Source organism: Homo sapiens, chromosome 17 (assembly GCF_000001405.40).
Source record: "Homo sapiens chromosome 17, GRCh38.p14 Primary Assembly".
NCBI classification, from domain to species: Eukaryota; Metazoa; Chordata; class Mammalia; order Primates; family Hominidae; genus Homo; species Homo sapiens.
Genome location: NC_000017.11, coordinates 40,515,520 through 40,543,472, shown reverse-complemented (window position 1 = coordinate 40,543,472; position 27,953 = coordinate 40,515,520). Strand labels below are relative to the sequence as shown.

General features: G+C 49.6%; 2 long non-coding RNA genes across 2 annotated transcripts, besides 5 other annotated features; one reads left to right on the top strand and one right to left on the bottom strand.

The window, feature by feature from the left end:
* Nucleotides 346-515: an enhancer, noted in NCBI's record as "active region_12148". NCBI's record gives its function as "activates an Ori minimal core promoter by ATAC-STARR-seq in GM12878 lymphoblastoid cells {active_cell/tissue: GM12878}" and the evidence as "EXISTENCE:reporter gene assay evidence [ECO:0000049][PMID:35858748]".
* Nucleotides 796-925: an enhancer, noted in NCBI's record as "active region_12147". NCBI's record gives its function as "activates an Ori minimal core promoter by ATAC-STARR-seq in GM12878 lymphoblastoid cells {active_cell/tissue: GM12878}" and the evidence as "EXISTENCE:reporter gene assay evidence [ECO:0000049][PMID:35858748]".
* Nucleotides 6,509-7,383: a transcriptional cis regulatory region, noted in NCBI's record as "candidate enhancer chr17.2443 targeted for multiplex CRISPR interference". NCBI's record gives its function as "positively regulates IGFBP4 gene expression with high confidence in K562 cells {active_cell/tissue: K562}" and the evidence as "EXISTENCE:mutant phenotype evidence [ECO:0000015][PMID:30612741]".
* Nucleotides 6,786-6,969: a silencer, noted in NCBI's record as "fragment chr17:38692756-38692939 (GRCh37/hg19 assembly coordinates)". NCBI's record gives its function as "represses an EF-1alpha promoter that drives an FKBP-Casp9 reporter gene in an ReSE screen in HepG2 liver carcinoma cells {active_cell/tissue: HepG2}" and the evidence as "EXISTENCE:reporter gene assay evidence [ECO:0000049][PMID:32094911]".
* Nucleotides 8,999-11,227, top strand: LOC107985090 (uncharacterized). The gene is made up of 2 exons (XR_001752884.2): nucleotides 8,999-9,063; nucleotides 10,394-11,227. It is a non-coding gene; the product is annotated as an uncharacterized LOC107985090 (long non-coding RNA).
* Nucleotides 11,228-16,470: 5,243 nt separating this feature from the next.
* On the bottom strand, nucleotides 16,471-26,528 carry LOC105371773 (uncharacterized). Its single transcript, NR_188623.1, has 4 exons — nucleotides 26,424-26,528; nucleotides 22,649-22,758; nucleotides 19,818-20,008; nucleotides 16,471-17,029 (listed from the first exon to the last, which is right to left on the bottom strand). It is a non-coding gene; the product is annotated as an uncharacterized LOC105371773 (long non-coding RNA).
* Nucleotides 18,582-18,876: a silencer, noted in NCBI's record as "tiled region #2600; K562 Repressive non-DNase unmatched - State 23:Low". NCBI's record gives its function as "represses a minimal TATA promoter and a strong SV40 promoter by Sharpr-MPRA in K562 cells {active_cell/tissue: K562}" and the evidence as "EXISTENCE:reporter gene assay evidence [ECO:0000049][PMID:27701403]".
* Nucleotides 26,529-27,953: the final 1,425 nt, after the last annotated feature.

Genomic DNA, 27,953 nt, shown 5'->3' with positions numbered 1-27,953 from the left:
GAGAGGGTAACAATAGACACTCTTCCATAACAATAGCTGGAATAATCGCCTCTGCTGTGGGGACCTCAGTGGCTAGTTTAGGGGTCATCTTTCCCCGTGAGATGAGGAATTACTCCCCTGTGACACACGAGGACAGAAGGCATTTGCTTTGGTTACAGAGTGAGGGGACTGGCATTGCTGAGCCTGTGTGCTCCCACGTCACGTGGTCCCTGGCAGGTCCCCACTTTGCCCCTGTCTGACCAAAGCTCCTCCCAGGAAGGGAGACTTTAGGCCCCAAACTTAGCAGGTCCAGACCAACTCCTGATTGGCTGGCCTAGCCCAGTGCCTGGCACATCATAGGTCAAAACATGCTCGTGGAATAAATGCTCATGAATGGCGAATGTGGGGTCTTCCCACACCCTTGACTCATAAGTTTAAAATCTACCCAAAAACCCCAGCATTGCAGAGACATGCCCAGGCAGACAGGCCCCTCTGTGGAAAGAGCTGTTTGTCATGGCTAAAGGTAAGGGCCCCATTTCAGACACTGTCCTGGAAGAGTCCCAGACAGTCAACAGATGACCCTGCCTTTTAACATCCACCCCATCCCTGCCAAGCACAGGGTCCCGGGCTCTGACGCAAGCACCTCTGCAAATAGATGTCGTTTCCATGGGAACTGAAACCCCAGTTTGTTTTTCCCTCCAAGGCACTCTGTAATTTCCAGCACAGTCTGTGCAACGTCAGCCTGGTAACCTCGTGCTGAGCTGTTCTCCGGGTCTGTGTCCAGCACAGGGAGCTGAGCTGACCTAGAGAGGTCATGGCAAGACTGTGCTCCCAGAAGGGCCTCCAGAGTTCGTGGGCACCAGCCCCTGCCTCCCCCCTGCAGAGGGGTACCCAGTAGATAGGTGGAGTCAGAGACGAGTCCTTGAACCTCCCTAAGGGAGGCCTGGGGGGTTAGGGGGGAGTGGAAGGACGGGGGCTCATTTCCAGTAAGAAGTGGGAGGGAAGGAAAAGGTCTCAGTCTGGAAGCCTGGGCCCCAGGGAGGGCGGGCGATGGGTAACAGATGATTTCTGGCTGCTAGAGGAGGGTGTGCTCTCAGCAGTTGGATCATTAGCCTCTATTGTCTGAGCCTCCGTGAGGAAACAGCCGTGGAAGCAAAAGCAGAGGCGAGAAGGACTTGGGGAGATGGAGGCGGAAAGGAGGGGGAGGAGGTTAGCGGACGAGGCAACGATGAACTTTAAGGACAAGATGCCAAGAGGACGGAGGAGGGGCTGCCGTGCCAGAAGAGTGCTGCCCCCTGTCCCCAGCACCATTCAAGCTTAGGGCCTGGGGAGGCAGGTCCTTTCCTGCTCCAGCCTTGAGATGACCAAGGCCCCAGCCAACACCTTGATGGCCGCCTGTGAGAGACCCAGAGCCGAGGACCCAACAGAGGCCCAGGCTGCAGCTGACATGCTCCGGAGTCCTTCCATCTGCCACGGGGAATGGACAAAGTGTTCCTCCAACCCCTCGGGGTGGCCTAGGGGCCCTCAAGGACCCCAGAAGGGGAGTCTGAGGCCAGAGTGAGAACCGGGATGCCTTTGAACTAGCTCTTTGGCCCCTCTCTCTCTCTTTCTCAGTGCCCTCAACAATAACACCTGCTCTCATGCTTCCAGGGCACTGTGGGCGAGGTGAGGACTCCGGTGTGAAAGTGCGACTGCCAGAGCCTGGCTGTTGTTACTACTACCCATGGGGGGGCCCTGCCCGCACCTCCCACCCCTCCACCGTGTCCCGAGCCACAAGGCAGAGTGACTGCCTCTCTTCAGCCACAGTCCCTGGGTTATTCAACAGCGGCTACCAGGACAGGCAGCCAAGGCCCTAAAGAAAGGGAGAGTAATGCTAGGAGGGAAACAGGACATGGCAGGCAGCACCCTCTCCCCAGACTGGCATCCATTGCCACTGCTTCCTGGGGGCCCTGTAGCCTGGTGGCCCCATACCCTGGCCCTCATACTCTAGCCCAGCCTCAGCATCTCAGGCCACCTCCCCACTCCACCTTGCGGTTAACAACAACAGTCAAACCACTGACCTGATTTTCTGCAGAGAGGAAAAGATAATAGGGCACCTCGGTGCATGTTCGCATGCACACACACACAAACACAGACACACACACACATGCACACACATACATGCATGCACACAGACATGCACGCACACACTCATGCATTCACACGCGTACACTCGCACACATGCACACACACACACACGCACGCATGCACACACCCCCACTCAATGGAAACTTTCTCTGTCTCCTTGACAGGAACCCAGCCCTGCCAGGGAGCTTCCTCAGGTAGAAAGTTCAGTGTTTATCTGCGGTTGATCAGAGGCCCGAGTTGAGTTCCTGGAGCCTCCCTGGGTGAGCACCGCCGGCCTGACCTGCCTCCCCTGCCCAGGGACAGTGCCTCTGGCCTGTCTAGGTCTCTGTGGGGTATCTGCTTTCTCCCTGAACTCTTGGCATTGTGCTGGGCACTGAGAAAGGGATTGATAAGACCCTTGACCCTCAAAAGAGCCAGAGAGACCTGGGATGGGAATAATTCCCAAATAAACCAGTGCTTCCCCTCCCTAAACTTTCTCATAACTCAGGGTCCTCCAAGCCTCAAAAACATCTCAGGGCCATGTTCTGCCACATACAAGTGATGAGGTGTCCTCAGAGTAAGTTCTCAATGGTTGGCGACTGTTCTTATTTTTCATCACATCAAAGGGCAGCCACCTTCCTCCGCCAGTGGGGCAACTGAGTGCAGGAGCTCCGCGCCCCAACCACCCACTCAACTTGTGGTCTTGGCGATGTACAAAGTGTCACAGCCGGAAGGGACACGAAGGTCACAGCCAGGAAAGTGTTTTGCTCAGCCTCTCACTCCCAGGCATCCACACTCACTGCTCAGAGTATGACCTGAACCCGCAGCCTCAGCACCACCCAGGAGCTTGTGAAAAACCAGAGCCTCAGGCCCCAGACCTAAGGAATCTGAACCTGCATCTTAACAATGCCCTCAGCTGATTTTTAGCCCAATAGGTTTGAGACTCCCTACTCCCCCACGCTGGGCTCAGCCTGGGCCTAGGCCTCCTAAGAGCTACATTATGCCCAAAGAGCTGGTCAGCCATGCCCAAGAGAGGCTGTGGCCAACCCACCACAGCCACCACTGCCCTGTTCCTCCAGCCACGTGTCAGATGAGGTTGATGTGGTGCTGAGCTTAGGTCCTAGCTGCCCACGTTGAAGAAGAGCAGGGGGCAACAGCTTTGCTCCTCTGTGCACGGAGGACCTCCATGCTCTACTCTGCCCCAGATGCCACCTCTCCTCCACCTTCCAGACCTTGCCTTTCTTGAAGCAAGGGGCGGTGGTGGGCCACACGCTTGGTCTCATCTTATCTGACCTAAGCTTATAAGGCCAACTGGCTCACCTGCGCTCTAGGAGCTGACGGTGGTCACCAAGGTGACCCTGTACTCCAGTTCTGCCTGCCTCCTGTACTTTGGCTTGTGTCCCCTGGGTTAGATTCCCAGCCACAGACTAGAGCCAAAACGTGGGCCTCTATACTCTGCAGCAGTCAGCTCTCCAGCTGAGCCACAGGCGCTTCAGAGAGGAGAGTGGTGCTGCTGAGAAGGCCATGTGTAGAACCTGACAGCCATTAACAGCTATCAACACCCCCAGGGTGTGAATACCATTGATTCCTTTATTGCTATTAACATTTTAGTGTGAATTAGCTGCTGGCTGTTTGTCAATTGGCTGGCAGAGAGTGGCTGGGGCATCCATACTGTTAAGTTTTGATAGGAGATACTGGTCCTCCAGAGGGGAAAAGCCCAGTCCAGCTATTTCCACCTCTCCCATGCTACCCTACGTAGCCACACTTGCTTGTCTCAGCCTCACCTGGGCCCTAAAGCAAGGGGTGCCAGAGCAGACTCTCCCCAGAGGTGGTGAGTGCTGTAATCGCTCCCATCGCTATGCTAGGGTTCTGCACCTGGGGCTCAGATCACTACATTCCTTTTAACAATAGTGGTGCCTCAGATAAATCTCATCAGCTATTGGGTACAGCCAGCGTGGGAAGCTTGGAGATCACCTATTTCCTGTTGTTCTCCAGTCTTCTGGCCTGGGATTCTGAGGGGTTCTATGATGAAGGAGGCCACCTCTAAGTACGTACAGCTCTCTCAACTCAGATCTCTGCCCTCAAGGCAGCCATCATATTCCCCAGATAGAAGGAAGGAAGGAGAGAAGGAGGGAAGGAGGGAAGGAAGGAAGGAAGGAGGGAAGGAAGGAAGGAAGGAAGGAAGGAGGGAAGGAAGGAAGGAAGGAAGGAAGGAAGGAAGGAAGGAAGGAAGGAAGGAAGGAAGGGAGGGAGGAAACTGATATTTAAGGGCTCCCAATATGTGTTGGTCACTATGTTAACTCTAACCATTAGCTCATCCAGTTCTCATAACACTGTGAGTTGGTGTTATTATTCCCATTTTACAATCAAGGAAACTGAGGCTGGAAGAGGTTAATAACGTGCACAAGGTTACCTAGTTAATAAGTGGCAGAGCCAGGATTAGAACCAAGATCTGTCTGATTCTCCCACTACCTTCCAGGTCTAGAGAAGTGAGGCCATGAGTCATGTGCTCTCATTCCAAGGCTGGCCGAAGGAAGTGGGCAGCTCAGACACGTCCCTCCTGATGGACTTTGGGAAAAAACTGGCAAAATGAGCTGTATCCTGTAGACTCTTCCTCTCTGTCTCTCCTCATAGGGAAGATTAACCAAAGGAAAGGGGACGGCAAGCCAGCCTGTGTCGCAGCGGCTGGTGACCTGGATTCCTGCCCCTCTTCTGGACCGAGTGGCTGTGCCAGTGTGGGCATGGGGCCCAAGGCTGCCGGCCTCCCAGGCATTCACATTCCACTCCCAGGAGCCCACAGCCTCTAGTGCTGCAGAGCTCCTGCCAGCCTGATTGGAGCAGCTTATGACATGACAGTGGCCAGAATGACACAGACCTCAGTCCCATAACCGTCCCTCCAGGTGAGCATGAGGGCAGGGGATGGAGCCAGCTAGGCCTGAGAAGGCGGTAGTGCTTCCAGCCACCACTGACCTTCTTCCCCCAAACATTTCAGGCACAAGATGAAAAGGGACAGGCAGCCACAGCCACCCTCCAGGCTGAACCACCAGTGGCACCGATTCACTGATCCTCTCCCCCTGCCCCCACCCACTCCAAGTGAAAAACTATTTGTTAAACACAACTATAAATAAGCCAGAGCAGCTATTCCATTTACCATGAGCGGTGGGTGCTGCTATTCCACGTCACGTTGAGGAAACCAAGGCCCAGAACGGTTTACCAATGTGCCCAGGACCCACAGTCAGAAGCTGAGAGGCAAGCCCAGGCTTGTGGCTCTCCCTCAACTCTGGCCTGATACTTCCCTTTAAAGGTGAACCTGATTTGATTCTTTTTTTTTTTTTTTGAGATGGAATTTCGTTCTTATTGACCAGGCTAGAGTGCAGTGGCGCAATCTCGGCTCACTGCAACCTCCGCCTCCCGATTCTCCTGCCTCAGCCTCCCAAGTAACTGGAATTAACAGGCATATGCCACCATGCCTAGCTAAATTTTTGTATTTAATAAAGACAGAGTTTCACCACATTGGTCAGGCTGGTCTCGAACTCCTGACGTCAGGTGATCCGCCTGCCTGAGCCTCCAAAAGTGCTGGGATTACAGGCGTAGCCCCCACACCCGACTTCTTTCCTCCACCTTTGCGTGGGCTCTCCCTTCTCCCTGAAATAACCTCCCAGCCATCTTCACCTGTCAGATCTTATGCCTTCTTCATGAACCATCACAAATGTCACTTCCTCCTAGTAATTTTTTTTTTTTTGAGATGCAGTCTCACTCTTGTCACCCAGGCTGGAGTGCAGTGGCACGATCTTAGCTCACTGCCACCTCCGCCTCCCATTCAAGCGATTCTCCTGCCTCAGCCTCCTGAGTAGCTGGGATTACAGGCACCTGCCACCACGTCCGGCTAATTCTTGTACTTTTAGTACAGACAGGGTTTCACCATGTTGGCCAGGCTGGTCTCGAACTCCTGGCCTCAGGTGATCCGCCCGCCTCAGCCTCCCAAAGAGCTGGGATTACAGGTGTGAGCCACCAGGCCCCGCCCCCAGTAATATTTTAACATGAATCCTCCTTTCTTTGGTTCCCCATAGGTCTGTGCCTCTTTTGTGGTACTTCCCAGGGTTTATAGTTCTCTAAGTAATATCTCATTCCCCCAATCTATGATAAGCTCCTGAGTGTAGAAGCCGTCTTGTCTCCTGGTGCCCGTCACGGTGCAGGGTACACGGTAGGTGCCCAGCAGACCTGGGGGGGAATCACCTTGCCAAAGCATCTCTCTGGAGGTGGGTCTTGCACTCAGAGGGCTGAGACAGCTCAAAAAGAGCCTCTGGCTTCCTGAGGTGCAAGGTGTTCTTGAGCAAGACTCTGCCCCTCTCTGAGGCTGATTAGAGATGCCAGCTCTGTCGCCGGGAATCATGAGAAATCTGGGAACAGCGAGCAGAGCCAAGGAATGTCCCACCCACGGCATCTGGAGCCACTTCCTTCCTGGAAGGAGAACAAAGCAGAAAGAGGAGATCAAGCCTCTGCCTGTGGATGGAGCAATGGGGCCCAAGGGGGTGGACCTCCAGGAAGGAGGCTGCCAGGTGACAACTGGGGCCCCAGAGGAGCTGGAGAGCCTCAGGGAGAAGGATGAGCATGGGGTCAGGCAAGCCCCCTTTCCTCCTACACCTTCCAGCCTCTCCTCTGTGAACCCCAGACTTTCCTCCCCTAACTGCTTTCTCTTTCTCCCTCCTCACCTCCTCCTCCCCACCTGGCACTCTTATCCCACAACCACCCACTCCCCTGGACTATGCTGCAGAGAGACCATGCGTGACTCCGCGTCTCCACACCCTTATCTTGACGTTCCAGGCCTTCCGGGTGGGCTGCCAGCACACCTCTCCACCCCTTCCCGCCTTGGACTCTCTCTTGGCCTGGATTTTCCTGCCTCTTGACCGTTCATGTGACTCCCTCAGCTCACAGTGACCTTCCCTCCCTGCTCTCTCCATCCCACCCTGTGGAACTCCTGCCTCTCTCCAAGCCCCCTGGACGCTGTCTTCCCTGGGCAGCACTGCTGGATCCCCAATCAGCTCAATCCCCGATCACCCCACTTTTTAAACTCCTACTATGCTTTCACCCCCCCATCCAGGGCTTATCACTCTGTCCTGGATGGAAATAGCAACAACAATCATGGGAATAGACATTTCTGTCACCAAAGACTCCTGCTTCCCCTTGCCTAGTGCGTGGGGTTGACATTGAGAAGTATATGGAGTTGACACTGAGATCTGACACTGCCCAGTCAGTGACTGTATTTCCCAGCCCCCGTGGCATTAAGATGGGGCCATGTGACTTAGTTCTCACCCATGGAATGTGAGCTGAAGTGGCACTTCTGGGCCAAAGCAGTTAAGAAGCTGATGTGCCTTCTCCACTCTCTCTTCCCCACCCACTAGCTAGAAGCCGATGGCCAAAGTGATTTCAGAAGATACCTGTTAAAGATGGCAGAGCTAATTAGCCAGGCACACACCTGTAGTCTCAGCTACTCGAGAGGCTGAGGCAGGAGAACCATTTGAACCCGGGAGGTGGAGGTTGCAATGAGCCGAGATTGCACCACGGCACTCCAGCCTGGGCAACAGAGCAAAACTCCGTCTCAAAATAAAAAAAAAAACGGCAGAGCTGTCAGAAACCTGGTCTCTAGTTGAGCCTCACTGCTAACCTGGTATTTTCTTAGACCATTAGAGGGGCAAGAAACAAGATTCCATTGTCTCTAAGCCATCACACATTCTTGGGTCTATTTGTTACACCAGTTAGCATATCCTGACCAATACAGGTAGCTATCAATTTATGGAGCACTTACTATATACCAGGAACTACATGAAGTGTTTTTACATTTATTATCTCACTTAATCCTCACAGTACTTCCACAAGGGAGCTATTTTAAAGTACCTGCTTTATAGATGAGAAAACTGAGGCTTAGAAAGGTTAAATAACTCGGCCAAAGTGACCCAAGTAATAAATTGCATTCTAAACTGGAACCAGAGTGCCTCACCACCTACAGTGAGCTTGGCACATGTCTGCTATCCTCCCCAGACCATTCTCACTGTGAAGATCAGAGTGGAAGAAAGATCACACCTTTCCCTCCTGCAGACACAAGAGTCTGACCCACACTAGATTTTTTTTTTTTTTCTAGACGAAGTCTCATTCTGTCGCCCAGGCCGGAGTGCAGTGGCACGATCTCAACTCACTGCGAACCTCAGCCTCCCGGATTCAAACAATTCTCCTGCTTCAGCCTCCCAAATAGCTGGGATTACAGGCCCCCGCCACCACGCCTGGCTAATTTTTTTGTATTTTTAGTAGAGATGGGGTTTCACCATGTTGACCAGGCTGGTCTTGAACTCCTGACCTGAAGTGATCTGCCCGCCTTAGCTGCCCAAAGTACTGGCATTACAGGTGTGAGCCACCACACTAGATATTTTGTAATATCATTACTTTTCAGCTCCCATTTTCCGAGAGCCTGCTAGGTCCTACACAGAGTCCGGGGGGCGCATTTCGCATATAGCAGCTCTAATCATCACGGAAGCCCTGCCAGGTGGGTATGTACTTTGCTGAGCTGGAAGCAGGCTCTGGGAAGCTCAGTAACCTCCCCAAGGTGACCTGCCTGAGTGGCCAAGCATAAAAGAAACTGGGTCTGCTGAGCTCTCACCTCCACTCTGCCTCTGCACTCCACCCCTCCCTTGTCAGACCACTCTGACCTGGGAGGCAGCTCGAGGTTTCCAGCAGAGCAGGGGTAGGGCGGGAATAGAGGAGTGTGTGTGTCTGTGTGTGTGTGTGTGTGAGTGTGTGTGTGTGTGTGAGAGAGAGTGTGAGAAAGTGTGTGTGTGTGAGAGTGTGTGTGTGTGTCCTACATGTGTATACCAATGTCTCACTGCTTTTTATCACTCAGTCTGGTTTTCATTTCTTTAGGGAAGAGGATGGGGCATGAAAGACCAGTGGAAGAAATGGGAATTCCTCAGGCTGAGGGAATAAAAGGTCAGAAAACATCAAAGTTGATGGAAACTGTGGCTTTCATGGCCAAATCCCCTGACTTAGTCCAGGAGGAAACTCCGGCCCAAAAAAAAGGACTTGCTCAGGGAGTTGGGGTTACAGCCTGCACTTCCAAAACCCCACTAATGCTTTTTGTACCAAGCCCTCTGCCCCAAAGCCAGGGAGAGGATAGATCACTCACAGTTCATAGCTCAGCTCAGATGTCACCTCCTCCAGGCAGCCTTCCTTCCCCCTCCACAGCCGCTCTGCCCCTCCTCTGGGAATATGGTAAAAACACTCACTCTTCATATTTACTGAATATTTACCAAGTGCTGGACTAGCACGCCACAGGTTTACTCACCTGTCTGTCTCACCCACTGGATTGTGAGAGGATGGAAACAGATTCTGTCTTGGTCACTGTAGCCTCCCCAGACCTCAGGAGACCCGGTACATAGTAAGTACTCAATAAACAACTGTGGGACTGAATGTCCAAATCAGTGAAAGGATCAACCGAATGGTTATACAAGCTATTCTACATAACAATGTCCTCGTGTGTGCACAGGGCTTTCATTTTTCAAATCACATTAATCACATCGTCTCAGTAGAACCCAGTGAGAGACCCCAGTAACAAGGAGAGTGGTATCAAGTGTATGCCCACATACACACCTGCACACCAGCACATGCAGCTCCCCTCCATGTTTATGTAAGTGTACAGAGACCCATACACCCATGCCTTCCTAGCCGGCAAGAAAGATGCCATGACGTGCTATTTCCTGTTTTGTCTGCAAACATGGAGGCCTCCCCCACCTTCTTCCCCACCCCGAGACACACACACACACACACACACACACACACACACACACACACACACAGCCAGTTTTCCTCTTCAGCTGAAAGAGTGAAAGAAAGCCAGCTGTCCACAAGGGGGCATTCAAGGACCATCCAACTCAATATCTCAAAGCTAAGACTGCTTCTTGGTCTCAGAGAGACGAGATCCCAGGAAAAACTGAAGAACCAGGGTGGGGTCTCACGTGGAAACCCAGAAGAGGAGGTGGTCAGCCACTACAGAAGCAGGGCTGATGGAGATGGAGTCTCCGTCTGAATAATAGAAATGGTAATACCACTCACTCTACATATTTACCAAGTGCTAGTCCCTGGTCTAAGCACTTCACATGTCATGACTCGTTTAATCTTCCTCTCACCTCCTCAAGGCTTAGTGTTGCTATAATTCCTGCTTTATAGATGAAAAAACTAATGACTTAGAAAAATTAAGTAACTTGCCCAGGGTCACTTAGTGGTGAAGGCAGAATTCGAACTCAGGATCTGTTGTCCATAGGTCATACTGTTAACTGCTCACTCTGCTGCCTCGAGGCTGGACTTTCAGACATCCTACTTCTCAGCCCGGGATTCTCTGTGCTGGACTCCACTTCTCACATCTACAGGCCCTTTTGGGTGGTTGATGAAGGACCTGGAAGCTGATTTCCTAAGAGTGAATAACTTGGTGCCCTGAAGCTGACCCCTCATCCACTATAAACTGTCGATGCTGGGTTGGTATAGTGCCTTTGGAAAGCAGTAAAGCAATTACCAGCAAAAGGCATGAAGCTCTTCCTCCCCCTTTGACCCAGTAATCTCTTTCCCTGGGAAATTATTCCAAGGAAATTATCCAAACGAAGCCAAGTGTTATCTGCATACATGTGTGCATTGAAGTCTTTCTTTAAAGGTCAAAAACTGGGAACCACAATAAGGAAGTGGTTTAATAAACTGGGACATCAACACAATGGACAATCAGGCCTGGAAATCCACAGCTGTGTGACTGTGATGGGGAATGGAAACATGGAGAATGCTTCTACTACACAGTGTATCACCACTACACTCCCACCTAACTAGCTAATTCAACAAATCACGCTTGTCAAGGAGAGAGAAGTCTCTCTGTTCATGTTCAAAATAAACTCAGCCTCTGACACCACAAAGGAACAGAAGAGAAGCTTAAATGCAACAAACACAATAAGCTCAATAATTCTTGGCTTTTGAGTTTCCAAGGCCACAGGTCCTGATGATGTATGACATTTTCTGAGAGTGATTTTGATGATTGGTTATTGATGATTTTCACCTTTCACACTGTACTTGTTATTAAGCCATCTAATTCATCATATTAAATTTTGTTAAGATACCTGGTGTGGTTTCTGTTTTCTGGCCAGACTCTGATACATACACAGACCATGGACCCTGATGAATGATATCTCCCCCATAATGATAAGTGATTTTTTAAGACTTCAAAATTAGTGCACCCACCATGATTTCAACTTATACAAATGTATACTTAAGGAGGGTACAGGTATGGCTGGTCTCCTCCAAATTATACTTTGTACTAGTTGCCTCTTGATGCATAATAAAGTACCCTAAAGCTCAGTGTCTTGAAACAACAACTTTTATCATCTCACAGTTTCTGTGGGTCACAGATCCAGGTGCAGCTTAGCTGAGTCCTCCACTTCAGCACCTCTGCAGGCTGCAGTCAAGCTGTCAGCTGAGCTGGAGTCATCTCAAGGCTCAATTGGGGACCCAATACCAAGCTTACTCGAGTGGTTGCTGGCAGGATTCAGTTCCTCGTGGACCACTGGATTCAAGGCCCCGATGCCCTTCACTGCCTGTGCCCTCTGTTCCTCAGCACGTTGGCCGTTCCATGGGGCAGCCTCCAACATGGCAGCTGCTTCATCAGAACACATAAGAAAGAAGTCTCGAAGAGTGTGAGCAGGAGGGGAGTCCCAGTTTTGTATAGTCTAATCTCAAAAGTGACATTCCCCCACTTTTACCATATTTTACTCATTAGGAGCAAGTCACCAGGTCCAGCCTACACTCAGGGGAGGGGATTACACAAGGACGCGTGGTATGCCTACCACATACTTGAACATTTATAGCATCTTCTCAATAACAAAAACAGTATTTTCTCAAGTTACTTGTCTAATATGGAAACTTTCTAAATCCGTTGGTAAATGCCCACACCCATTTCTCTCAAGCAACAGCCCCCTGGTCCCCCTGGTCCCCCGCCCCCACCAGACTTAGTGGAAAGTCCCTGCTGGGTGAGTGAGTGGCTTTTTGCCAGATTGGGGGTGGGGTGGGTGGCAGGATGGAGGCAACATGGGCACCTTCAGAGATCAAACATCAGAGGAGGGAGGCAACTCAGGACTCGCCTTTGAAAAAGGTTCAGTTGGTGCCTGCCCCAGGCCATTACCATTGCTTTAGGCTGAATTCTTAACCAGCCCAACAAGGCCTGGCCAGATGTGGCTCCGCCTGCTTTCTCCAAGCTCAACTCGCCTTTCTGTTCGCTCTCCACACGCTAACCACAGTGGCCTCTTCTCTGGCCTCAGACAGGCCAGGCTCTTCTTCTCCCATCAAGGCATTTGCTATGCTCTTTCCTCTCCTGGATCCCCACCCTGCCCCCCAAAGCCTCACCTGCCTGACTCCTACTGAGCCTTCAGACCTCTGCTTGGACAGCGCTTCCTTGCAGGGGGCCACCCCCAAGCCTCCAGTCTCGGCCAGGTCCCTGAGCTACTGTGATTCCCCTCCCAGGAGATCTCTGATTCCAACCAGGAATAGCATTTCCAACCAGCCCTTAGGCAATTTTTACAATAGGGCAAGTTTGGGAGGCACTGCCCACCGTCTTCACAAGCTCACATGGCACCCTTCCCTCTCCAGTTCCACTCAGCACACCTAGAGCTGATGAGTTAGTTCTGCCCTGTGGACCCCTGCGGGCCAGGCCCACATGTGTCTTGCCTAAGCCCAGTAGGGGTGAGTAGGTAGGGGGAGAGCAGGCTGGAGGGAGATGGACAGGCACTGCCAAGGCAAAGGTGGGGTGGAGCGAATGAGCACTTTGCTGCTGAGATGGGCAGAAGAGAAGCTTAGCTGGGCACTGTTGGGGGAGGCAGGTGCCACAGGACATCCAGGTCCCACTGAGAACACTCAGGATGCTAAAAGACAGTCAGAGATCCAGGACGAGGGGAGATCTTCCAGTGCTCCTACAGTCACCAGGCAGAAAACCATGACCCTCAGGCTCTTTCTGGGATAGTGTAGGCTGCTCACAGCCCAACTGCTCAGGATTACAATGGCGGAGATTGAGGTTTAGGGTTGTCAGGTTTACCAAAGAAAAACACAGAAGCCCTGTTAAACTGGAATTTCAAATAAAAAACAAATACTTTTGTAACATAAGTATGTCCCAAATATGACTCAGGTGTCCCATATTTTAGCTGGCAATCCTGCCAAGGTTATGAGTTGATGCTAAGGCCCCAAGGCTAGGGTCTATGATTATTCCAAGGGTTTCCTGGAGACAAGAATAAACTCAGGGCCAGGCACAGTGGCTCACACCTATAATCCCAGCACTTTGGAAGGCCAAGGTGGGAGGATCACTTGAGGCTAGGAGTTCGAAACCAGCCTGGGCAACATGGCAAAACCCTGTCTTTACAAAAAAAAAAAAAAAGTTAGCCAGGCATGGTGGTACACACCTGTAGTCCCAGTTACTCAGAAGGCTGAGGTAGGAGGAACCCTTGAGTTTGGGAGGTTGAGGCTGCAGTGAGTCATGATCACACCACTGCACCCCAGCCTGGGCAACAGAGTGAGACCCAATCTCAAAAAAAAAGGGGGGACTGGACACAGTGACTCACGCCTGTAATCCCAGCACTTTGGGAGGCTGAGGCAGGCAGATCACTTGAGGTCAGGAGTTCAAGACCAGCCTGGCCAACATGGCAGAACCCCAACTTTACTAAACATACAAAAATTAGCTGGGCATGGTGGCACACGCCTGTTAGTCTCAGCTACTTAGGTGGCTAAGGCACAAGAATTGCTCGAACCCAGGAGGCAGAGGTTGCAGTGAGCCAAGATTACGCCACTGCATTCCAGCCTGGGCAACAGAGTGAGACCCTTTCTCAAAAAAAAAAAAAACCTCCTAGGGCTCCCCTCTCCAAACAGTCCATGGAAGCAGTTTTCATTGTTATGATAGTTCAACACTGGAAGCAACCTAAATACACCTGAAGAGGCAGGGATTCATTTCCTAGGGCTGCTGTAATCAACTGCCACAAACTGAGTGGCTTAAAACAACAGAAATGGATTGTCTTGCAATCTGGAGACCAGAAGTCCCAAATCAAGGTGTCGGCAGGGTTCTGTTCCCTCCAAGGCTCTGGGAAAACTCCTTCCTTGCCTCTTCTAGATTCTGACGGGCGACTATCCGCCCTCAGCGCTTCTTGGCTTGCAGCTGCATCACACCAATCTTTCCTCTGTCATTGTGTGACATCCTCCCTGTGTCTCTGTTTCTGTCTCACGCTCACTCTTTTTTTTTTTTTTACTTTAAGTTTTTTTTTTTTTTTACTTTAAGATACATGTGCAGAACGTGCAAGTTTGTTACATAGGTATATATGTGCCATGGTGGTTTGCTGCATCTATGAACCTGTCACGTAGGTTTGAAGCCCCACATGCATTAGGTATTTGTCCTAATGCTCTCAATCCCCTTGCCCTTCAACCCCTGTCAAGCCCTGGTGTGTGATGTTCCCCTCCCTGTGTCCATGTGTTCTCATTGTTCAACTCCCACTTACGAGTGAGAACATGCGGTGTTTGGTTTTCTGTTCCTGTGTTAGTTTGCTGAGAATGATGGCTTCCAGCTTCATCCATGTCCCTGCAAAAGACATAAACCCATTCTTTTTTATGGCTGCAGTCTCTGTCTCTTTTTATAAAGGCACCAGCTATATTGGATTAGGACCCACCCTAATCGAGCATGGCCTCATCTTAACTTGATCATGTCTGCAAATACCCTATTTCCAAATAAGGTAACATTCATAGGTACCAGGGATTAGGTACCTATGACTTCTTTTTTTTTTTTTTTGAAACAGGATCTCACTCTGTCGCCCAGGCTGGAATGCAGTGGCATGATCTCAGCTCACTGGTTCAAGTGATTCTCCTGCCTTAGCCTCCTGAGTAGCTAGGATTATAGGCACCCACCACCATGCCCAACTAATTTTTGTATTTTTAGTAGAGACAGGGTTTCACCATGTCGGCCAGGCTGTTCTCGATCTCCTGACCTCAGGTCATCCACCTGCCTCAGCCTCCCAGGGTGCTGGGGATGACAGGTGTGAGCCACAGTGCCTGACCTGGGATTAGGACTTCAGTGTAGCTTTTGAGGGCGATACAATTCAACCCAGCACAAGAGGAATGGGTAAATTAGGAACCAATACATGGAGGGATTCCATGACAGATTTTTGAGTGAAAAAAAAAAAAAAACAAGGAAGGTGCAAGAAAAAAAACATATGTGGCATGATTTCCTTTTCAATCTTTAAAAAAATAGCTATCTATGAGCCTTTATGTGTGATTACTACTTATGCACTAGTTCAATCAGCAAGTATTTCCTGGGCACCCACCAGGGATACAGCAGTGGGTAAGGCAGACGCCATCCCTGCCCTCCTAGAGCCTGCAGTTAAATATGCAGCTTAATGGAAGGACACACATCTACCCATTATTTCTTTTTCCAAGTGGGCTTGGAGGGGACAAGAGAAAGATTTTTTCCTTTCAATTTTTTTTTCTTTATTGCTTAAATTTTTATAACAAGCATGTTACTCATTTGTGACTTTTTAAAAAATGCTTAACTTTTTTTTTAATCCAAAAGGCCAGCCCTTTGGAAGCCTCTTTGTTGTCTTCCCGAGAGCGATGGCTGGGACACAGCTGCAGTAGTGGCACCACTGTGTGTGACTGCTGGACCCTGCAAGGTTTGCCCTGAGTGTGGATAACTGAGAAGAAGTAGGAATCTTCACAATCCAAATGACCACTTAGGAACATTTAATGGCTAAACAAGTGAAATATTTGTAATTGTCCACTTATTTGTGGTGTGTTTGATGTCTGTCTTTTCTATGAGACTCTAAACCCCAAATGGCAGGGGCCAGGTTTGTTTTGTACATCACAGAGCCAGCTGCCAGCACACACTCAACACATACTCAATAAAAAGGGGTCAAATGAATGAAAGAACACCGAAGCTTGGGATGGCCCTCATGGATCATCTAGTCTAACCTCCTCATTTTATATAATTGGTAAAATTGAAGCCCAGAGAAGTCAAGGGACAGAGTGAGTAAGTGGTAGCCAAGACTCAGAAGAGCCTTATCACTCTCAATCCAGGCTCTTACCTTCAAAAAGAAAATTTAAAAAAATTTTTTTAAACCCACATGATACACATTTTATAGTAAGATCAAAAGACATACAAACAAGGATAGAGAAGTATTGTCTAATAATTATCAGAATTTTAAACCAGTGTTTTCATCTAACTTTGGCTTTTCCCGCTGGGGCTAAATATTCAACAGATGTTGGGGTTTGCGGGTGCTAGTTAATCACATCCCTCACTTCTCCGAGGTCTGATCCAATTGAGAAATAGTCACAGGAGACAAGTAGGGATTAAAATGTCAGCTTTATTGCTAGTCCAGATGGACTGGAGGATGTGGCTAAGACCCAAGGCCCAAATGAGCTTTCTGTGTCTTCTCCTCTGACTTGAACTCACTCACCCACTCGCGGCAGAGCAGCTGGACTATTGAAGTCCTCCCAAGCAAGGGCTGGACCCGCCCTGGTGCTCATTGCCTGGAGGAGGCAGGAGCAGACAGAGAACATGCTGCTTGCAGTCAGGTCAGTCCCAGAGAGAGAGCCAGGAACAGGCTGAGCCATGCACACTTGATACCCTTTTCCCAACGACACCAATCCAAGAGGTCCCTCCTCCTCTCACAGAGAGGAACCAGTGAAGATTGTACAGAGAAAATCGAAAAGTTCCTTCCCAATTCTTCCAAGAGGTTGTCAGTTCCTGTTTTATGGGCTGATAGGAGAATGGGGAGGGGAGATAGTTGCCCCCTTAACAGAGCCTTCAATTCATTCAATACCTTTTCATAGAATCTGAAAACTTCTGTGTTACAAGAAGCAGCTCTGACGTGAAAGATTGTATCAATTGAAAGTGAATTTGCTGCAAATAACAGAAAATTGAGATCAGTAACTTAAACTAAAAAGGGACATATTTTTCTAATGCAACAGGAAATTCAGAGGGGGGCAGATCTGGGCTGGGCATGCTCCATGATGGTGCCAGGGAGCAGGACTCCTGCCTTTCTGCTCCACCATCCTTAGAAAGTGGCTTTTGTCTTCACACTTTTAAGATTGCTCCTCCACGTCTAGGCATCCTGTCTACATTCCAGACAAGGCAGGGAGGACAAAGGGACAGCTAAGTCTGTCCCTTTTTATCAGGAAACTGATAGCTTTTCCAGAAACTCTATTCAGTAAATGTGTGTTTTCATCTCATGGGCCAAAACTGTGTCACTTGCCCCACTCTCTGAAAGGGAGTCCATGAAATTGAACTTTGAACTTGGCAAAATTGGATTCTTTTCAATAAAGGAAGAAGACTGAATATTGGGTAGCAGAATGACCTCCACAAAAGGCACAAAATGGTGAAAGAAAATAGAAAATATTGTCCAAAAAGTGTTTTTTAAAAAAAGATGTGGACAATTGTTTTTGCAAACATTCAAGAAGGAGATTATTCCCTGTGCAAACACTTTCAGAGAATAAAAACGTAGAAAACTCAGTTCATCTTACAAAGCTAGCATAACCCTGATACCTAAACCCAATAACAGAAAACACACACTAAATAAACAAATTAATTAAAACTACATACCAAGCTAACTTATAAGCTGACAAAAATTCCATGCTTTTCTCATTCTTGGTTTCTCCTTTGTTTTACTGCTGCACATCCTCTATTGCTGTCTTTTTTTCTAGGAGCATTACCACAAGGAGTCTATAGGAAGTAAACTTCCTCAGTCCTCATGTATCTTAAAGTGTCTTTGATTTGCCCTCTTAACCAGTAGACAGTTTAGCTAGGTATTGAATTCTAAGTTGAAAATCTCTCTCTCAGAACTTGGAAGAGATTGCATCATTGTCTTTTGTCATCCAATGCTGCTAGTGAGAAGTCTGGTGACTTTCCGATTTTCATTCCTTTATAGGTGATTTTTTTCTCTCTGGAAACTTTTAGCATCTTCTTATTTTCCCAAGTATTCTGAAATTTCTAAATCTTGTGTGTTTTTTTTTTTTTGCTGGGGGCTTGCCTGATGAATCCTGTTATTCTGAAGACTGGAGTGTTTTGTCTAAAAAATTCTGTTCAGTCATTTATTTGAAAATTCTCTCCCTTGATTTCTCCCTTCTCTCTGAAATCTTTATAAATCAAACATGGACCTCCTGTATTAATTTTTTATGTCTCATATATTATCTAATAAAATTCTGTTTCTTTAACCTTTTGCTTTATTTTCTGAGAGATTACCTTGACCTTAACTTTCAACATTTCCAATGAATTTTAATTACATTTTTCTATGTCTGGGGCTTTTGTGTTCTCTAATTGTTTCTCTTTTCATATCACTACTCATGTTTTATAGATTCAGTGTCTTCTTGAATTCTTTTTTTAAGTTCTATTCTACGTATGAATTGTCTTTGTTTCCTCAGAGGTCTTATTTTCACTTTGCTTATCTTAGTCTCTCTATTTCATATTTCAGGCTTCCTCAAATAGCTTCTGGCTTATGGTTGTCCATTCATATTTAAGAATGAAGCAGTAGAAAACTTTCCTGGAAGCTCTGTGTACATGGATAAGAGGAGATGAATGGCAGGCTTTGTTTCCACGTAAACTGATCTTTATGCCTTGAGATTTCTAAATGTCAGCCTGCAATGTGCTTTGTTCTCAGATGCCACCTTAAAACCCAGCTATCCTAGTCTTCCTCAGGCAATTTAATTTCTTTAAAGAAGAAATTAGGGGAAGGAGCAAAATGGGGGACAAAGCAAACATCTGCTGGCTGAACAGTTTGCATATAAGAGTCAGGGATTTAACTGTTCCATTTTTAGACTTCCAATTAAGCTCCCCCTTTTCAGCCACATATCCCTTTCCCACCCTCCATTGCACCTAGCACATCCAAGTCCTGAGCTTCTCTGTGCCTCTGCTGGTGGGTCAGCTCCCTCTTTGGCTGCAAACCCAGCCATGTGCATTCCACACAGCAGCTTCCTCTGTCCTGCTTACTCAGTCATCCTTCCCCATCGAACCACTTCTCCAGAAATTTGTTGGGATTTCTCTTGTCCACAGGTGCCCCCTCCCAATTCAAATTCTCCTTTGGAAGCATTGATATGTTTATTATTTATTACAAAGACATTTCTGGAAGAGGTAAAGATAAGCCCATGTGCATTTAGTCAACCCTCTTGGATTGGAAGTCCCACTGACCTTGTAATGAAGGCTGGTGGGCATGGGTGTGTGCTTTTACATAGACAGACCTGAGCAGACTGTGCAGTCCTTCTAATCAATGACACATTTACAAGAAACTCAAAAATATGCACAGAGATGGAAGGAAAGCTTTTTTTTGTTACATAACACATTTCAGTGTCTGTTGATTATAATATATTTTAAATACGAAACTAAAATTATACGTGTCCCTAAAGCACCTCCTCAGAACCCTAAAAATTTTGTAGAATATACTGGGAAAACCACTGGCATGATTAAAAAAAAAAGAGCATGGAGTTTGGAGTCAAACAAACCTGATTCAAATCCTGGTTCAACCATCTGTTCTCTCCAAATGTTAGTTCCCACATCAGTACCTACCTTCTCAGATTGCTGTGAGGATTAAGTGAGATAATATATATGCAGAGCACCTAGCACAGAATCCAGTGATTAGTAGGTGCTCAATAAATGCTCATTGCTATTCCTCCTTCCCACTCCATACTAGACTACTCACCATGCCCCACCTCGTTCATGCTATTTCCACCTCCCCTCTTCTGTACTTCTTGGGTCTCTGCTTGTTCTTCAAGGTTCAAATCAAACATCCCCACCTTCACAAAATCTTCTCCAACCTTCCGGAAGAGTAACTGCTCTTTCTTCTGTGTCCCCGTGACACCTGTTCATACCTTTGCTGTAGTTCCAATCTCTCTGCAACAAAGAGAGCTTTGCACACACCTGTCCCTCTGGTGGAGAGGGATTCCTTAAAGGGAATCCTCATATTTCCCCTGCACCCAGTCCTATAGCTAGCACACAGTGGGCAATCAATAAGTATTGGAGTCTAATTGAGTTGCAGCAAGCTGAACTGGATTATGAAGATCCCAAACCCACTGCCAGGCAGAGATATGAAAGCCAAGCTATCATGGCCAGGTGCGGTGGCTCACGCCTGTGATCCCAGCACTCTGGGAGGCCAAGGCAGGTGGGTCTAAGACACAGTCTGTGAGCAGGATCCTGTTCTCAGTCCTCGAGCAGAGCCAAAAGGAGGAAGAGCATCACCCACACTGGGAGTTGCAGGTCTAATGAAGAAAGCAGGACAGGAAGAATCCCTGTCCTCAAGGAGCTTCTCATCTAATATGGCGGGGGGTGGGAGGGCAGGGAAACAAAATAGAGTCCCAGGCTTCAAGTCGCTCCCAGGCTGATGTGATCCAACCCACACTCAGGAAACACCCAGTCCAATATGGGAGACAGTACATGTGCACACAAGTGTCATCCAAATTGAGAGGATACAGCACCAGTCACTGTGCCTACTGTGTCCCTACTGTGTGCTAAGCATGTTACTTAGGGGTATCACTTATAAGGCCGTCATGCAAATGGTCCAGTCTCAAAGCTGCGTTATCATCAAGGATGGCAACCAGGCTGGGCGCAGTAGCTCATGCCTGTAATCCCAGCACTTTGGGAGGCTAAGGCAGGAAGATCACTTGAAGCCAGGAGTTTGAGACCACCCTGGGCAATATAACAAGACCCTGTTGCTACAAAAAAAAATTGGCTGCAGTGAGCTATGATCTCACCACTGCGTCACTCCAGCCTAGGCGACAGAGCAAGATCCCATCTCAAAGAAAAAAAAAAAGAGACAGAGTGGGAGAGGAGAGAGAGAATAGCAACCAAAAAATAATAATTTCACAATAACTCTGTTTACTTGAATTTCTTAAACTTGACTACAAAGATTCATGGATCATAGCGATGCTTCTCAAATCTCCTTTCTCCCACCCACTCTCTTCCCTCACCCATTACAGCTGCTCAAACCTCCCTCCTCCCTCAGTCTTGCTGCTAATCCTTCTTCCCTCTCTCTCTCTCCTCCCAGTTCTATATCGCCTATGCCTAAGGACTATTCCAATAAATCAGCACCTTTCATAGAGGGTTAAGGGAGGCGTGCGCGCACACACACACACACACACACACACACACACACACACACACACACACACAATTCAAATAGGCCAAGTCAGGATTTTCTCTGATGAGCAGAGAGAAGGGAGAGACTGGGATGGAACACTCGACCCCCACCCGCCCCCGCCGATGGCTTTCCTCCTGCCACACACACATTATCTCACTTGATCCTCACAACCAACATATAAGGTTGATGCTATTATCCTTATTCTACCTATGAAAAAACTGAGATTAGCAAGTAATGCTTGACCCAGGCCATGCCATTAGTTAGCAGTGGAGCAGGGACTTGAACCCATGTCTGCCGAAAGGACAAATATCCTTGTTCCTGGCAGGGTGTCCAGAGTGAAGGAGTTGGGTGACTCAGGGCTTGGAGAGAGTGCTTTGTGGAAAGCAATCTTCAGGGTGTGGTGAATTCTTCTTCAATACCTCAGGATATGTATGTGTTTGTGTCTGTGTGCGTCTGGGGATGGGGGTGACCTGACCACAGGGAGTTCTTCTCAGCCATGCTCCACTTCCTACAGAGTGGGAGGACATTCCCTGTGGAGCCAGTCATCCTGGGGCAGCTCAGGGAGGACTGCAAGGGCACCCTCCACAGCGGGGAGGATACGTGGGGACTCTCCCTGGGGGTCAGAGTGGAGCAGGGAACTCCAGAAGCCCGAAGGGAGGAGACTCCTGGGGGCCAGGCTGAGAGTATGATTCGCTCATGGCATCTTGTTACAGGAACAGGAAGCTTCCGTCTCCTTAGAGCCTCCCTTCAGCAACATGAAGCTGGAAGGGCAGAGCGTGGCCCCATTTTACAAGTAACAAAACTGAGTCCCAAAGCAGTTCCTCCACTGTAGAGGAGACAGGGCTAGGCCTCAACACAGACCCTCTGGCATCCCGCCACGCCCCACACACAGCCTAGGCTGCCAGGAGGACTCCACAGCCCTGCATCCCACCTCCACTTCCCCCGGCCCATCCGAAACAGTGCCTCCTTCTCTCCTTCCTGAGGCCACCAAGCGACTCTTGTCCCTGGACTTTGAGTCCTTCGGGCAGACCCAGAGGAACCTGTCCTGCCCGCTGTGTCCTGCTGGTGTCTGGCAGGAGAAGACACTGTGTGAATGGAGGGATGCAGGCGGCAACAGACAGGCTGGGGTAAGAGAGGGAGTGCTAGGCAGGAGGCGTCGTGACCTCTTCCCGCTCCACCACAAACCAGTACCCTGGGTGGTCTTGGGGAAGCCGCCCTCCATCTCTGCGTCTCCCTCCTTCATTGCATAGGAGGGGGTGGGGACACATCAGGCTGCACAGAACCCAGGTGTGGCGGGTGCAGGAGGATGGAGAGGGCTGGACGGCTAGGGTGCTGACCCCCTCCCTCAGTGCCCACCTCCACCAGCACCCCCTCCAACTGGATTAGCCTTGACCTACCTGTTGTATTAGTCTGCACTTACTGGTAAGCTTCTGTTTGAAGAAAGGATTCCGGCATCCACCTTCTTTCTTACAAATACCTCTGTATGGTGTCGGTTCATAATCCTGTTCTGTTGATTGTTATTAAATAAGGATTTTCCTGTACTTTTAGGAGGAGGTTCCAGAGTAAGGGGTGGGAATGGGCTGGGGGATTCACTGCTTCACTACTCCTGGATCCCCCCACCCTGCTATTGGTACTGGAAGTATTCAACACGTGGCTTCCCTTTGAGACCGCCTCCATGGGACACCTCCCCTGACCCTCACCCCCCAAATATGTAAACCTTCTGAGCTTGTTGCCTATTTTACCCCAGTGGTTCTGCCCAATTTGTTTTTTTGTTTTTTTGTTTTTTTCTTTGATATGGAGTCTCACTCTGTCGCCCAGGCTGGAGTGCAGTGGTGCCCTCTCGGCTCACTGCAACCTCTGCCTCCTGGGTTCAAGTGATTCTCCTGCCTCAGCCTCCCAAGTAGCTGGGATTACAGGTGCATGCCACCACACCTGGCTAATTTTTGCATTTTTAGTAGAGACGGGTTTTCGCCATGTCGGCCAGGCTGGTCTCGAACTCCTGACCTCAGGTGATCTGCCCACCTCGGCCTCCCACAGTGCTGGGATTACAGGCGTGAGCCATCACACCCGGCCGGTTCTGACCAGTTTGGATGCGACTCCCAAGAGCTTGTTCCTCAGTCCTTCCAGAAGGGAGTGTGTATGGGATATTTCTGAGGCCCTCAAAGGCACAGGCTGCCCCCAGTGCCCTCCGATCTTCCCATAGCCCCTCCTGCTTCCCTGGGTCTCAGTTGGTCTTTTTGCTTCACCCACACCTTGAAGCCTGTGGAGCTGCTCCCAGCTGTCGAGGACTCCACTTAGAATGCCTGTTAGAGATCAACCGTTTTTCTCTTCCCCTAAACTCTGCTGCCTCCTTTAAAGCTCTACAGTTCCGTGCTACACCATCCAAAGTCTGAGAGTGCTGGGATGCAGGGGGCAGGTGGGGGGAGCAGGCGTCCTATTCTCCCAAGAGCCCCTTGATGTGATCTTAGGAGGCTGGGTGGACACCAAAGTGTAGTGAGACCAGAGCAAGGAAAGGCTCCTGCTTCAGGTCCCAGCTCACATTGGAGAGGGTCCTCCCCTTGGCAGGAAGGCAGGGACTGGAGCAGGTGACTGTGAGCTCCCAGCCCTGGGGACCAACCATGGGGCTGCCCCTGATGCCCTGGTGCTGGTCAGCAGAGTCTCTTTCCAACTGAACTTCTGCTGACTAGAAGGCAGCTCTTACCCTCTCTGTGCAGTTCTGCTGCGGGTCTATAAAGCAGACCCAGGAGCCCAGGCATGGGGCAGAGGAGGGAGCCAGATGCTGTCAGGAGACAGCACTGCTGTCAGTGCCCTCGGGAGTCAGGAAAGCCAGGCTGGAGAGCACAAGCTGACCTCCATGAGCCCCCAGCAGTCCCTTAAACCCGGCCCCATTTCCAGTCACAGCAGAGAGTACGACCTGGGGCTCTTTGGATGAAATGGACAGAGTGGGCTCTGATGGGGAAGCACCCTCAGGGACTATGTATACTCCCCACAGCCAGGGTGTGAAGCCCTCTAGACAGTCCTCAGCAGGAGCCCCACAAACCCATCCCACAACCTGCCACTCCATATAACAGGAGGATCCCTCAGAGCCCTTTGAGGGGCAGAGGGGTGGCGGGAGGGTGGTTGGCAACAAGCCTGTGGGTGAGAAACCCTCCTCAAGGCCTTGGAGGAGCCCTAATCGCCAAGCAAAGAAACATACCTGCCCTGCCCTCAGGGAGCTCCCACTCCAAGGGGGAGACCCAGGCCCTACTTGGGGATGGGGATGCAGGGATAGGGGTGGGGGCTCAGGCTTGCTCACTGAGACACCTCAGGGAAGGGCGCAGGCCTGCAGGTGGAGGGCGGAGACTCCATGAGTAATCAGGTTTACAGAGGAATGCACTTCCAAGGAAAATGAGTCAGAGGCAGGAAGAGGAGAGTGAGAGCCCAGTCTGGATGCCACCCTCACCTGACCTACAAGGCTCGCTGCCCCAGGCACTTGGGGAGACCCCTGTTCCCTCTCACACTCTCAGCCCTACTATAGGCCCCGGTGAAATGCAGGGAAGATCCCTGTAGCCAAAAGTCCTATAAATGATGGTGAGGAGTCAGGAAGGAGACCCTAATGAATCCTCTCCCAGCACCCTGTTTTCTCTTCTGCCTGGAACTCAAACAGTATTTGCAGGAAAGCACCCACTGAAGGTGCTCCTTCTTCCTCTGGGCATGCACTCCAGGAGGCATGCTTGCTATTTGAACATCCCTGAGCACTTTGCATTTTCAGCCTGGCCAATCTGCCTCCAACTTGCACTCCCAGAAGACTGAGAGCTGCCTAAAGGCAGAACCCAGCCTGGCTCTCTGGTCCTTAGAGTCATGGTGTTTAACACTGTTGAATGGACAAATTCAACTCTACTGTATTGGACTATATTGGACTGTACTTACTAAGTACTGTACTTCTCAAAGCCAGTCATGTGCCTGTATCTCCACCACCACCACCCTAGGCTCCTGCCCTCTGCACTTGATCAGCTCCCCAACCCTTTAGCCATACCACATCCAGAGGATCTTGCAAAACACAATGTCTTGGGAGGATTGCTGGATCCCAGGAGGTCAAGGCTACAGTGAGCTATGATCGTGCCACTGCACTCCAGCATGGGTGACAGAGAAGACCTTGTCTCAAAAATAAACCAAAACAGGGCCGGGCACTGTGGCTCACTGCTGTAATCCCAGCACTTTAGGAGGCCGAGATGGGCAGATCACGAGGTCAGGAGATTGAGACGATCCTGGCTAACAGGGTGAAGCCCCGTCTCTACTAAAAATACAAAAAAATTAGCTGGGTATGGTGGCATGTGCCTGTAGTCCCAGCTACTCAGGAGGCTGAGGCAGGAGAATTCTTGAACCCGGGAGGTGGAGATTGCAGTGAGCTGAGATAGCACCACTGCACTCCAGCCTGGGCGACAGAGCGAGACCCTGTCTCAAAAATACATAAATAAAAATAAAAATAGATAAACAAAAACAAATTAAAAAAACCAAACACAATGTCATCACGCTTCTACAAATGTTCTGTTGCTTCCCACTGTTTTCAAGGTAAATCCAAAACCTCTAAGCTGGTGCACTGGGGCTGGCCCCTAGGTGCCTCTCTGGCCTCCTTGTTGTAAATCCTTCTGTCTTTGTCCACCAGCTGCACTGAGTTTTCTTCAGCTCCTCAACAGGACCGCTATCACTCACTCCTACCCCAGGACCTTTGCACCTGCAGTCTCTTCCATCTGCAAGTTCTTTCTCTCTCCTTTACCCTTTTTGCCTGGCTAGCTTCTATTGTATTCAGATCTTGGATTAATTGAGGCAGCTCTCCGTGATCCCCTATAGGCATGTCCCTTGTTACACATTCTCAAGGCAACCTTGACTTTTCCTTCATAGCCTCTTTCACAGTCCATAATTAGACATCTGCATGGTTATTTCATCAATGTCTACCCTCCATCCTCATCCCCCATCCTGTCCCAAAGACCATCAACAGGATGTGGACCGATGCCCAGGCCCAGCCCTAGCACCTGCCCCCCAGGAGGCTGGAATCAGAAGGACACGCCTGACCCAGAAAGGCCCCACACCCCAGGAGCCTGAGATCTGGGATAGTACTTGGCCCAAAAGGGCAGCCCCACCCTGTGCTGCCAAAGTTGCAAGAGGAAGAACTGGGGCTCTGGGTATACTTACCTGGAAAGAGAAAGCTGAGGAATGCTTGAAGACAGAGATAAGATGGCCAGAAAGCAGGAAATGAGCTGCAGATAGCTGTTGGCTGAGGCAGGGCAGTTTAGAATTAAGGCTGCAGATCAAAGCCACAGGAAGTGGGCTGGTATTTTTCGGTAACAGCAAAATCTGATAGAAGCCACAGTTTCCTGTCTGGGTGGGGCAGGCAATTCATTCACTCATTCATACATATTTGTTCCTATCATATGGTCATTCAACAAATATTGATTGAGCACCTTTCTGGGTGCCAGACACTGTGCAGTGCCCTGGGGGACAGCAGTGAGTACAAGTGAATTAAGTCCCTACTCTCCTGAATTTGCAGGCATCTATCTTGTTGTCTAGACCTTTTTCCCAACTGCCAGCCTATAGTCCATTTAGTGAGTCACAGCCAGCATTTTTTTAAATGCAATACAGAATGGGATAGAAAATATTAGTGTAGCCCAAGCAGTGAGGATAAGCATTCAGTTATACATGTATTACGTGAACTGGGTCCTGGCATAAAATGTATTTCTTCCTGTGGTTCATAATCAGAAAAGTTTGAGAAACATCATTCTAAGCATTATTTAAATAATTCCAAGGCCGGGCATGGTGGCTCACACCTGTAATCCCAGCACTTTGGGAGGCCGAGGCAGGTGGATCACCTGAGGTCAGTAGTACGAGGCAAGCCTGACCAACATGGTGAAACCCCATCTCTACTAAAAATACAAAAAAAAATTAGCCAGGCGTGGTGGTGCATGCCGGTAATCCCAGCTACTCAGGAGGCTGAGGTAGGAGAATCGCTTGAACCCAGGAGGCGGAAGTTGCAGTGAGCCGAGATCGCGCCACTGCATTCCAGCCTGGGCAACAAGAGCGAAACTCCGTCTCAAAAAAAAAAAAAAAAATTCATAACCGAAGTCAATGATAGGGAGCATGAAGAAATACACAGAGTGCTACAGGAGGTTAGAACAGTAGGGCCCCAACTGGTCTGGGCTGGGGACGGTGGTCAGGGACATCTTTGCTGCAGAGAGGATGCCTGAGTTCTCTGAGAAGGGGGCGGGGAGTGGGAAATGGAGGAGTGCTAAGGGAAGGATGGGGGAGGAGGTGTGAACTAGTACTGTGTCAAGAGGATGGCTTGGCGAAGGAGCAGTCAGGCAGAGACCGGCATGTGCCACACGCACCATCAGAGGGTGGGGGAGGGTGGCGGGACGTGGAGGTGGAGAGGTGGGAAGGAGCCTTGTGAAGCTTATTGAACAGTTGGGTCTCGATCCTAAAAGCAATGAGAAGCCACTGGTGGGTTTATTCATTCATATATCCAACAACCGCTTGCTGAGGAATCCCTTCCCCTGGCATCCTGGTGCTGGAGACACAGAGATGAAAACACCCTGAAGCCACTTCCAGGCCAGTTGAGAGTCAAGACATGCTGGAAACATGAAGAAGCAATCAAGACAGGAAGCAGTCAATGCAGACGCACATCCTACTGAAGGAAACCAGTGTTTTAGAACGGGTTCCCCAGAAGCA